This window comes from Homo sapiens, chromosome X, assembly GCF_000001405.40.
Source record: "Homo sapiens chromosome X, GRCh38.p14 Primary Assembly".
Classification (NCBI taxonomy): Eukaryota; Metazoa; Chordata; class Mammalia; order Primates; family Hominidae; genus Homo; species Homo sapiens.
Genome location: NC_000023.11, coordinates 97,108,236 through 97,120,654, shown reverse-complemented (window position 1 = coordinate 97,120,654; position 12,419 = coordinate 97,108,236). Strand labels below are relative to the sequence as shown.

General features: G+C 38.5%; 1 protein-coding gene across 2 annotated transcripts in view, besides 1 other annotated feature; it reads right to left on the bottom strand.

Annotated features, from left to right (window-relative positions):
* Window positions 1-12,419, bottom strand: part of DIAPH2 (diaphanous related formin 2) — a 920,156-nt gene that overhangs the window by 484,343 nt on the left and 423,394 nt on the right. For both annotated transcript variants that reach the window (NM_006729.5, NM_007309.4), the window contains exon 21: window positions 5,690-5,929. In NM_006729.5, the coding sequence (NP_006720.1) occupies window positions 5,690-5,929 (240 nt within the window). The remainder of the gene's footprint in view (window positions 1-5,689; window positions 5,930-12,419) is intronic.
* Window positions 345-1,544: an enhancer, noted in NCBI's record as "MED14-independent group 3 enhancer chrX:96374110-96375309 (GRCh37/hg19 assembly coordinates)". NCBI's record gives its function as "activates an origin of replication core promoter dependent on BRD2, BRD4, P300/CBP and CDK7 cofactors, and independent of MED14, by STARR-seq in HCT116 cells {active_cell/tissue: HCT116}" and the evidence as "EXISTENCE:reporter gene assay evidence [ECO:0000049][PMID:35650434]".

Sequence of the window (12,419 nt, the reverse complement as noted above, 5' to 3'; positions counted from 1 at the left end):
ATGATAGCTGATGAGCTAAAAAAAAAAAAAAAAAAAAAAACCCACAAAAAACTCTCATAATGTTTTAAGAAAGTTTATGAATTTGTGGGAGGATCATGGCAGACGGGAAGCAGGACTAGATTGCAGCTCCAACTCGGATGGACAGAGAAGCGTGCGGAGGCTTGCGTTGTGAATTTTAGCTCCAAAACGACTGCAGGGATAAACCAGGAATCCCGAGAGGACCCACAGACCCTCTGAAGGAAGGGGACTGCTGCTGCAGGACCCAAATACTGTGAGTGCCCAAATTGCGAAGTGGGAAAGGGAGATCCTCCACCACCGAACACACACCCCTACTGGGGAAACCGAAGGTCTAGTTTGAGGGAGAAGTTTCCAACCTTACCTGGAGCTGAGTCAATTTAGAGAGCCAAGCAAAATACAGGGGTAGAGGAAGCAGCAGGAAAGGCCCTGGGAGTTCGCTGGGTCCCCAAGCAGGCTATTCCTGCCTGGCACCATAGGGATCCTTCCGGAGGGCAGCCAGAGGCACAAGGGGAAAAGCCACAAGGAGAAGAAAGTCTCCAGCTGATCTTTGTAACAACTTGAAGTGGTCAAGAAGCCTCCTGGCCAGAACTCAGTGGAGGGCGTGAATCCGCTGTGTAGACTCTACAGGCAGGGGAAGAACTAAAGCCCTTTTCTTTCACAGCTCGGAGGTGGGTAGCCTGGGGCAAGTTCTCAGCCCTGTTTGCCCACTGCCTGGAAACAGACTCGTTGCTGTTAGTGGGGGCATGGTGGGAGTGGGGCCAGCCCTTTGGATTGCGTGGGAGCTGGGTGAGGCCTGTGACTGCCGGCTTTCCCCCACTTTCCTGACAACCTGCATGACTCAGCAGAGGCAACCATAATCCACGGTAGGTACACAACTCCATTGAGCTGGGAATCTCACGCTCAGCAGCCGCAACAAGACCCACCCAAGGAGAGTCTGAGGTCAGACATGCCTAGACCTGCCCCACCTGATGGCCCTTCCCTACCCATGCTGGTAGCTGAAGACAAAGGGGACATACTCTTGGGAGTTCTAGGGCCCTGCCCACCGCCGGTTCCTCTCCATACTACCACAGCTGATGCTCTATGGAAATCACCACCTCCCGGCAGGAGGCCAACCAGCACAAAAATAGAACATTAAACCACCAAAGCTAAGAACCCTTACAGAGTCCATTTCACCCCCCTGCCACCTCCACCAGAACAGGTGCTGGTATCTACAGCTGAGAGGCCCATAGATGGTTCACATCACAGGCCTTTGTGCAGATAACCCCCAGTACCAGCCCAGAGCCAGGTGCCTAGACCCCAGAAGAGAGACAACAATCACTGCAGCTCCTGCAGCTCGGCTCTCAGGAAGCCACATCCATAGGAAAAGGAGGAGAGTACTACATCAAGAGAATACCCCATGGGACAAAAGAATCTGAACAACAGCCTTCAGCCCTAGATTTTCCCTCTGACAGAGCCTACCCAAATGAGAAGGAACCAGAAAACCAACTCTGGTAATAGGACCAAACAAGGTTCCTTAACACCCCCCCAAAAATCACACTAGCTCACCAGCAAGAGATCCAAACCAAGAAAAAAAATCCCTGATTTACCTGAAAAAGAATTCAGGATGTTGGTTATTACGCTAATCAGGGAGGCACCAGAGAAAGGTGAAGCCCAATGCAAGGAAATCCAAAAAAAGATACAAGAAGTGAAGGGAGAAATATTCAAGAAATATTCAATCTCAAATTGAGATTTAGAGAAGGTAAGTGACTTAGTCAGGAAAATTTGGCTAGTAATTGACAAAAGTGTAAGTTAAAACGTAGGTTCCAAGCCACAATGTTCTCCCCTTTTGTAAAGTTATAGATTCTTAATCCTACCTATCCTTCAAGATTCTTCTTTTTCAATTTACCAGCACTGCCCAATCACCAAAGATTCCTTCCTCCCCTGAACTACTGCTAATCTCAGTGGCCATTTATTTTTGCCCTCATTGACAGTGTACCTTGTGACATTACATAATATTGTGTATGTATATTTCCTGGCTGCTCAACTGTACCACAAGCTTCTTGAGGTTTCTGTGTATCTTCTCTATTGTTGGTAGGCCTCTGATGAATAGATCATCTGTTTTATTTTGTATTTGTTTAGAGCTGCCTGATATCCCTTTACCTGCTCCTAACCTTTGGTAGCCCTATCTTTGGTAACAGCACCCTTTAGGGCATAACCAATCTTCCATGGCAGGTAGTTTTGGTAGCACTGTCAATCAGGGTTTTTTGCTCTCCCTTGAACAAGGGGTGTTCTTATAATCCACACCGGGCTCATTAGGCTCTCTTCATAATTTGAATTTGAATCAAACATAGGGAAAGGAGAAGGAAAATGGTTGGAGCTGATATATCCCAAAGGCAACATCCTAAAAAGACTTTTCATTCATTCCTGCTACCTGAATTCTCAAAGCTGTCACAGTTGCTGTTCTTTTAAAGGGCAAGTTCTTTAGTCTTTCCTCAGTTTCTGGCTTAGTTACTTCATATCCTTCCAGCAAGTTTCACTTTTTGCTTGAATCAGGCAGAGTCACGTTCTGATACTTACAAACAAAGATCCTTATTTGATAAACCCACAAAGCTTAGTATATAGGGAATGCTAAGTATTTTAAAATGTTTTGTCCTTATGCAGATTATATATGCTATTTCGTACTGAAAAAAAAAACAACAAACAAATGGCCTTGAAGTGTAGCATTTCTATTGGTTAGAATTTTAATAACCAACAGGCTAAGCTAACATTGGGAGCTCATCTTCATTGAAATGATTTTTATTACAGTTCAGCACACTGGTTTGGTGACTCACAAAGTGATAATTCACTGCTGCAAATTAACAAAGCATTTTGTGGTGAAGGTAGTAATTACAATAATGATACCCTTTAGTGTTGACATTTTGGTTAATCCATCTGTTTTCCTTTTCTTCCCAAATACCATAACAGCCAACTGTGACCATCTGAAATTTTTATATTACCTTACTACAAGATACATCTGATAAGTTTAACCACATGCCTCCTTTTTACCTAGGTGAATATTTTAACATACTCTATAGCTTCTTGTTAAAAGCACTGGATTAGTTTTAAAATCACTGAGAAAAGAAATTATCATTAGAAAAATTTAGGAGAGTAAATGGTATCATTTTAAAACCATAATCAGTGTTCTATGAGGGAAATTCCCCCTGCTATTTTCTTTAAGAAGGCAATCACTAAGAAAAATCAATGAAGTAATCTTTCATAATACAACTGAAATTAAACAGCAATTCTAGCTAATCATACATCAGTAGCTAGTTAATTCTATTTCAAACATAATACAGAACTAAGCTAACTATTTCTACGTGCTTCAGAAAATTTCTGTCATTTTAGACATTTACATTTACTCACAATCCTTTGTATTCCAGGAACATCCTTCGAATCCTATACATTATGGGAATATCATGCATGTGTATGATATTTCTCTTTCTAAATGACAACTGTTTTCCTAGAAAATTTCCCAGAAGATAAAAATCTTACTGAAAAGTGGGGGGTGAGTTGGGGGACAGATTTTAAAACCTTCACTTCTTTCACTTTTGGAACACCTATTGCTACATGATAGTATTTCCCGCAAGATTATTTTTTATTTTATTTGAAGTTGGCAAAAATCTTTGTGCTGAATCCTTTGAGCATACCTCTAGTGATAGATGTCAGATCAGCGTTGTGTAGAAGAACTTTTATTTGACAGGTAGATGACAGAAAGAAGCCTCTCTCCAAAATATAAGATGTAACTGTAAAATCCTTCGGTGAGATTAACGTAACCTTTTGTTCCTATGTATAAATGACTTATTCATTCTTGCTTCAAAGAAATCAGTTCATGTAATTAATTTGAATAGTGTGAAATTAAGACACTTATAAGGTACATATTTCTTCAAATTAGAATGGTTTTAAATATTTTTATATGAATTAAATGCAAAATAGGTATCTAATACAAATTTCTGATGATATTTTAACTTATAATCTCTTTATAATTGTCAAGCAAGAACACTTTTAGATTCACTCAGTGTGCATATAGCATATACTCTAGGCAAGTAGCACCATGGTAGAGATGACTCTATTAACATTGGGGATATGGTATGCAATACAATGCTGAAGTCCTAAATACTTTATTTCATCCTATAAATCTGGCATGATTTAGTACAGTTTATTACAAGCACTGCCTTATTCCCTCTGGCATTATGAAATGATTTTACATGTCCCCAAATATCACAAGAAGATGGGGGTAAAAATGTTTTCTTCACAAAATCCAGCATTTCCAGATAATCTTCTGTATTTTCCTTGTTCTCTTTCCTTACAGCCCTCAAAAATATATCAGGAGTAAACAGATGTTCACAATTCTATTGTACATCCTATTATTATCTATAAGTGTTATTCTTTATGTCTATTTGGGTTAGAACTACCAAGATCAAATCATTTTTGATACATATCAAAGTGCTAGTCCATGTATATGTAATGAACATCAATTTAATGCATGTATAGAAAAGAAATTCATATCCATTGCTAGATTTGGGATTCTCATTATAATATACTTCAAGAACTAACCAAAGTTCTGCAATATTTTCAGATGTGAGAGAAAAAAAAGAGTGAAAGAATGGTGAGTTGTCAAAGACAGATTGCTTGTTTTCAGATTTATTTTCGTCTCTAGCTTTCTTACAGGCCTTCACCTCAGAGTGTTTTCAGGCTTCTATAACAGACAGATCTTTTCTTTGAATAAGGTGGTTTGCTCTAGCCTAAAAATGGACATATACAAGCACTTTTGGGCTTCTCTGTTTCTTTGTTTGCTTTTCATAAGTCTCAAAAATATTATTAAATGATCCAATCAAAACAAGATGATTGTTATTCAATTTTCTTTTTTACCTCTTAGTTAATGCACCAGATACCAGTGTACAACACTACTTGACATTGAAGAGTATTATTATCTTAGAGTAGAATAAGCAAACTATATTCAAAAATAAATTTCTGGCTATTTATCTCATTAAATTTAGCTTGTCAGATACTTTTTAGAACGATATAAGTAATAATGTAAAGGAAATATAATACTGCATCTATTTTATTTTATATTTTATTTTTTGAGACAGAGTCTTGCTCTGTTGCTTAGGCTGGAGTACAGTGGCATGATCTCGGCTCACTCCAACCCCCGCCTCCCGTGTTCAAGCGACTCTCCTGCCTCAGCCTCCAGAGTAGCTGGGATTACAGGTACCCGTCACCGCGCCCCACTAATTTTTGTAATTTTAGTAGAGACGGGGTTTCACCATGCTGGCCAGGCTGTTCTCGAACTCCTGACCTCAGGTTATCCACCCGCCTCAGCCTCTCAAAGTGCTGGGATTACAGGTGTGAGCCACCGCGCCTGGCCAATACTGCATCTAGTTTATAAAAGTGGGATTTTTTTGTCTATAAACTTCAGTAAAATGTAATCAGCAAATGTTAAGTACTGTATTCCAAAAGAATATTCAAGTCTTTTAGATTTTACTAAAATTTTAAAAAATTATTTGTTTGAATTGAGATATAATTCGCATCCCAGAAAATTCACCCTTTTTAAGCATACAATTTTGTGGTTTATGTACGATTGCTATTTGCAGTATCACCTTTCATAGACAAGAAGATTATTGTTGTAAATTAGCATTATAAAATGTCATCTTACCTTACAAAGGAAGTTGATCTTAAATCCCAAAGACTGGGCATTTCTTGAGCCTGAGTTCATGTAGTTTCCAACAAGAAGAACTAACTCTAAAAGTCTGTTAAAGCTTTCACTTTTCTTCAGTTCTTCACAGGCAAGAGTTACTGCTATGATGCTTGGTTTGATGTTGTTTATGTGTTCTTCAAATGTGAGCTTGAACAGGATACTACTGAGACGAGGCTGTAACATTTTCACAGAGCTCATCTGTAAGATAAGAAATACCCTATGAGAATATACATTTAATGCCTCTTATTTTATCTCTTTAGTGGGGATAATTTCATAGACAACACTGTAACATTTCTGCATAAAGTCAGTTTGCTCTGGGATTTTAAAAATCTTTTTTGTTTTAAACATTCCAAAGAAATAGTTTATCAAAGTTTAAAAAGCAGTTGGCTATACAGGTTTTTAAAAAAATAAATCATCCTTATGGCATTAATAAAATATTATAGAAGCTGAACAGTTGCTATATGTTAATTGCATAATCATTAGCCATCAATAGCATTCAAACTGCCAAAATCTGTCCCTGAGGTGAACTAGGAAAATTTATAAACATGAAATTGAGTTGAGTGAATAGTTGGGCCGCAGATAAAAGATGTACATGATGACAGAAAATATAACTGGAACATTTCCTAAGAAATTACCTATTACTATGCTGTTTGAAATCAGAAGACTAGCTCTGATTGAGCATTTAATAATTTTTAAACTTATGATTTCTATTCATAAAATATACTATTTATATATACTCTAAAGAATTTCTAAAGAATTTCACCTACTTGACAGATGCTGCTGTTAAGTAATTAGATGATAGTAAAATCACATGAACTTACTTTCAAGTACATTATGCAAGAATTCTACATTGGTTTTCTTCAATACAGTTCAACTTTGGTTTTAATTACTTGTTTCATAGCACTGGTGCACATTAAATATTCCACTTGGTATAGTTACTATGATAATAATTGTTTTAGTTTTTAATTTCCTATAGCTCCAAGTTACTCAACTAGTTTTCCTTCACAAAATGAATTCTGGGAGGGAGGTCGGGGAGAGGTAGACACACATGAACGCACACAGACACATGCACACAGTGAAAATAAATTATTAACATTCCTAATTATATTTGGTTTTGTATATATAGCCTACTTCCTTAAATACAAATGCCAAGTACAGATTAGACACCAACATATCTGCAGATAACATGAAGAGAATTTGACGACATAAACAAAAGTTTTTAAACCACAAAGTACCTTTCAAAAGCAGCAGATGAGCTGTTGGGCAGACCATATCTACTCTAATACAGAATCAAGACATAGCCCATTATTTTTCTTCTTCGAATTTGCCCATTAACCATGAACATCTGCCTCTCCAAATATGAACCTCTGCCTTCTACTAATCCTCCTATATGCTTTCATGCTTTTCACAGGCAGATATACAAAAGTATGATGAAATATCTACCTGTTACTGTATTTTTGTAGGTCTCATCACTTATGACTCACTTTTTTTTATCTGGTCAGGGTATTATTATACAAATTGTACTGCTATTTCTTCAGTACTCACATGGCAACTATAAAACACGCCACCTATTCACAAAAAGCTTACAATATAGTCTGAAACTCAACATAGAACCTTGAAAACTATTGCTGGTGAAAAAGCCAGCACATGATTTTAGATAGGTAAAAAGAAATTAAGTTCTGGAGGTGTTCACTGGAAGAAGAAAAAACTTTAAACTCTTATGATTACAGTGATTAATGAAGGCTTCACAGTAGAGGAAATACACATGAAAAAATATATGTATAGGTGTGTGCATGCATGTGTAAATTTAAGCACACATAGAACTGACACTAAAAGGAAAAAGTGGCCGGGCGCGGTGGCTGAGGCCTGTAAACCTAGCACTTTGGGAGGCAGAGGCAGGAGGATCACTTGAGGTCAGGAGTTTGAGACCAGCCTGGCCAACGTGGCGAAACCCTGTCTCTACTAAAAATACAAAAATTAGCATGGTGGTGGTGGCACAGTGCCTGTAATCCCAGCTACCCAGGAGGCTGAGGCAGGAGAATCGCTTGAGCCTGGTAGGCGGAGGTTGCAGTGAGCCGAGATTGTGCCACTGCACTCCAGCCTGGGCGACAGAGTGAGACCCTGTCTCAAAAAAAAAAAAAAAAAAAAAAAAAAAAAAGAAAGAAAGGGAAAGAAGGAAGGAAGGAGGGAGTAAAGAGAGAGAATGGTGTGAGAAAAGTAAAGAGAGAGAGAATGGTGTGAGAAAAGGTTTATAGGCTAGGTATATATGACATACATACCTAGGGGTAGAATTGGAAACAATGTATCTAAAGAGTCCAGGTAAAGGCCGCAGAAGTGGAAGCTAATCGCATCAAAGTCTATGTCTCCGTGAATTTGCAGGTCTCTTTGTGTATGTTTGTGTGGGAATCACTCTGAGTTTCTCTATATATTTTTCTGCCTTCATTTCTGCCTCTACCTCTGTCTCCAAATCCCTCCCCACTTTATTTTTCCTTTCCTTTTACTGGTAACTGGCCATCACTAGCACTGAAGCAGGTTTTCTATCATTTTACGTTTAGGGAGTAGTTTTTTAGTCTCCCTGATGACTAAAAAAGCTATAGAGCTACTTTGAGCAGCTACTAGTGACCATGCACTTGCTCTCCTGGCCATACTTTGCAGAGCTTATAGGGGCCATGTTCACCAGGGTGCCCTTGGTCCCAGATGGACAAGGAACAAAACCCTTAGGCATATGTGGGCTTTTAGTCTTCTTTGGTCCCAATATCATGTGCCTGCAATCATATTCTTATCCTTTCCATGTTTTGTATTAACCTACAATGTTTGGCCTACAAACTCAGAGAACATGGATTTGATATTTTTATAAAAATATCAGCTCCAATTGAAATTACATAACCAAAGTATGCTTTGATAATGATGGTAACAATGCTAACAGCAATTAACACTTATTAAGTACTTTGTGCCAGACATTTTTCAACATTTGCTTTATATATTAACTGATTTGATTCTCAAAACAATCCTAGGAAACGGTTATCGTTATTTTCATTCCAAAGATGAGAAAAGTGAAACAAATAGTAAGTAACTTGCACAAAATCAAATTTTATGTTGGAAACCTGAAGATTTGAATGCAGGCCTTTGGGCTACAGACCCCAGACTCTCAACCGCTACCCCACACTGCCTCTTGAGTCTTATTAGGAGCAGTAAGTATGATTGGTTGAAGGAGAGATTAATGGCAGGGAGACCATCAGGAAGTTAGCAAAATGGTGTAAGAAACAGGTAATGAGGTAGCATGTTGACAGTAGGAAGATAAAGAAAACAATGGATATAAAAGATAGAATTAAGGAAGAATAAATGGGACTTAGTAACCGACCAGTTATAGCAGGAGAAAGTCAAAGATGGCTCCAAAGTTTGAAGTCTGCCGGCAATAATGAAGGTAGAAGGATGTGCTAATTTGGTACAGTTTGTCACCTGGTTGTTTGCTTGTTTCAGAGAATGAGAGTAGATGGATTTGCTTTCCCTGACCTGCTGCTACTTAAATTCCAGTAAGCCAATCAGGGACTAAGGCAGCAGGGGCAGGTAGGTGTAGCTTAGCAGCAACTAAGTCAAATGAGACTGAATTTAGAAACTGTCATGTGAGCTGACTGTGTGAAAACAGTCTGCCTAATTTTCTGGTCTTAGTTTCCCCATCGTAAAGTGGGAGAAATTCCTGTAAAGCGGTCTTGTTTTGATGAAAAGAAGGGAGTCAAAATAAATGATCCATACGTTTACTTTCTTCTTTTTTAGGCTCTGCCTCTACAGCTGTGGGAAGGTAGAGTAAAAAGCACTAGTTCCATAAAGGAAAAGTATTGCTTGGCTGCTACGAAAAATTTGTATTAGCATTTAAGTAAATTCAGCTGACCATCTTCTCAGACATCAAATAGGGCATCTTTTTTTTTTTGTTTGTTTTTTTTGAGACGGAGTCTCGTTCTGTCGCCCAGGCTACAGTGCAGTGGCACAATCCTGGCTCACTGCAACCTCTGTCTCCTGGCTTCACGCCATTTTCCTGCCTCAGCCTCCCGAGTAGCTGGGACTACAGGCAGCCGCCACCATGCCCGGCTAATTTTTTATATTTTTAGTAGAGACGGGGTTTCACCGTGTTAGCCAAGATGGTCTCGATCTCCTGACCTTGTGATCCACCCGCCTCAGCCTCCCAAAGTGCTGGGATTACAGGCATGAGCCACTGCACCCGGCAAATAGGGCATCTTACTTCTAACAATGATGCTCTTATTTTCCCATTCAAGACCCCAAATCTTGAAGTGATATTCAAGTCACAGTAAACACAATGTTATTTATAATAATACCAATCCTTACCAATATTTTAACCTGCAGAATTTCTGAGAGTCGTCCCTTATTTTCCATGCTCACCATATAGAAACTCATAATTTTATGTACTTCAAGCTTGGATTACTAACATAGACTAAATGTTCTCCTTGATCCCTCTCAAATCCTCTAAAAAATAATAAAATGATACCTCCATGATAGGGAAATAATAAAATTGCTTTATTGACATGTTGAGTTTTTGTTATTATTATGATATCTGCTAGGATTTGAAACTATAGTTCTAGGGGTTAGAAGTATTGGAGTTGGCAGATTTGGGAGTTATCTGAATAGATGCTATGGGAGGTAAGGTCATTGATACAGAGACTGCATAGAGAAAAAAAAGGAGAAAGGAGTCAAAAGCTGCATCTTGTGGAGCACCTAGCACAGAGTCTTGAGTATATCAATATGTGCTGATTGATTTTTAAAGCACTCCTTAGCTGACTATTTTCCAGATCTTTTCCCAAGTAGGACAATTGTCTATTCAACAAAATTAATAGCTGACAGTAATATTTTACTTCTACAAAATAATGTCTTCAGTTATAATGTCAAACCAGAAATGTTAGGGAATTAACTTTGTTGAACCAGTATTACTAGATATTAATCTATCATGAGTCAGCCTGCTTTTCAGAAGAAGTTGTATACTGTAAGGGGTTCAAAGTTGCCCTTTGATCTGGCAAAAATTCTTCATTGATTCATCTCCTACAACAAGGTTTGATACATGGCAGATGATAAAGATGAAAAGTGATTTTGAAAATAAACCATCGTAAAATGAATGAATGGCTTCATTCATATAAATAGGAAACATAATATTCAGTAAAATGCTGGGTCAAGAAGAGGACATATAGTTTCAAGAGGTATAACAGCAGGCTGATGTGGGGAAAGAGGAAGTACATGTAAGGTCATTCATTAGCTTCCAGGTAGGTCACCCCAACAATACCGCCAAGGCCCAATCTTAGCCCAAATTCAGAGCCCCATACAGCTTTTTCTTAAAGAATAGGATTTAGGAGAATTTTTTTCTCTAAACCCAGGAAAGAGGGGGAAACAATTATCTGCATTCTCCAGACCCATACTGTAAGCTGCAGTAGGAGAAACAGCGACACTGTAGTTACACAGACATAGGTTTGAGCCACACTTCTGTCACTTTACTTTTTAGAGACAGGGTCTCACTCTGTTGCCCAAGCTGGAGTGCTGTAGGGTGATCACAGCTCACTGCAACCTTGACTTCCCGGGGCTCAGGCGATCTTCCCACCTCAGCCTCCCGAGTAGCCAGGACTACAGGCACATGTCACCATGCCTGGCTAAGTTTTGTATTTTTTTGCAGAGATGGGGTTGTGCCATGTTGCCCAGGCTGGTCTTGAACTCCTGGGGCTCAAGCGATCTGCCCACCTGGGCCTTCCAAAGTGCTGGGATTTCAGATGTAAGTGACCTCACTGGGCCTCACTTTCTAGTTGTATGACCTACTGCAAGTTACCTGGAGTTTCTAAGTTACTTCCTCATCATGAAAATGTATTCATTAAATCATCTATACACGATGCATTAGAACTTAAATGTGATACTATGTGTATCACTCCTGTCATAGTAACTGACATGATGTAAACACCCTAAAACAATAGTTCTTGTTGTTATTACATTCTTTATTCATCTTCAGAAATTGTCAGTATGAAGAAACCGGGGTCCTTATCTTTTCCCCCAAACCCAACGTAAAATTTCTCTCATTCAAAATTAAGAAATATATTTCCAGGGCTCAGTGAAGAACAGCTCTCATTATCCACTGTAAATATCATGCTTTATTTAGCTATTTTTAATTCATAATATACATCTACTATTAGAAATGTCATTATTAAAATTGTATTATTACAAAATCAAGAGATGATGTAGGAGGCAAGCTATACATGTGCATCTCTTAACAAAAGCCACAAACCAGTACATATTGATCATAACCACAGAATTTTTGCAACCATAAGTGTGAATTTTTACGATCAGACCAGTGTACACTGATAGAAACAGTTGCAACTCCATCAGAGGATTTGGATATGGAAGGAAATGTCCTAGATAACTAAGCTTAGAAATAGTAGGAAGCACTGAGCAACATCCCCAGCCACAGATACAATTATTAAAAGGCTCATGTCTCATAAAGGCACTTGAGTGCACCTAAGTGATATAAGTAAATAAAATAAAAACTCTGCTGAAATTTGTGTTTGTATTTAGTTGTGGTCCCTTGCAGCATTTTAGTTGACTGGCATCCTTTGTTTTATAATTCATTCCTTGAAGTGCTGTGGGATGCTGACCAGGGTATTGTATTATGTAGGGGATTTATTTGTGTTACGATGTACTTGTC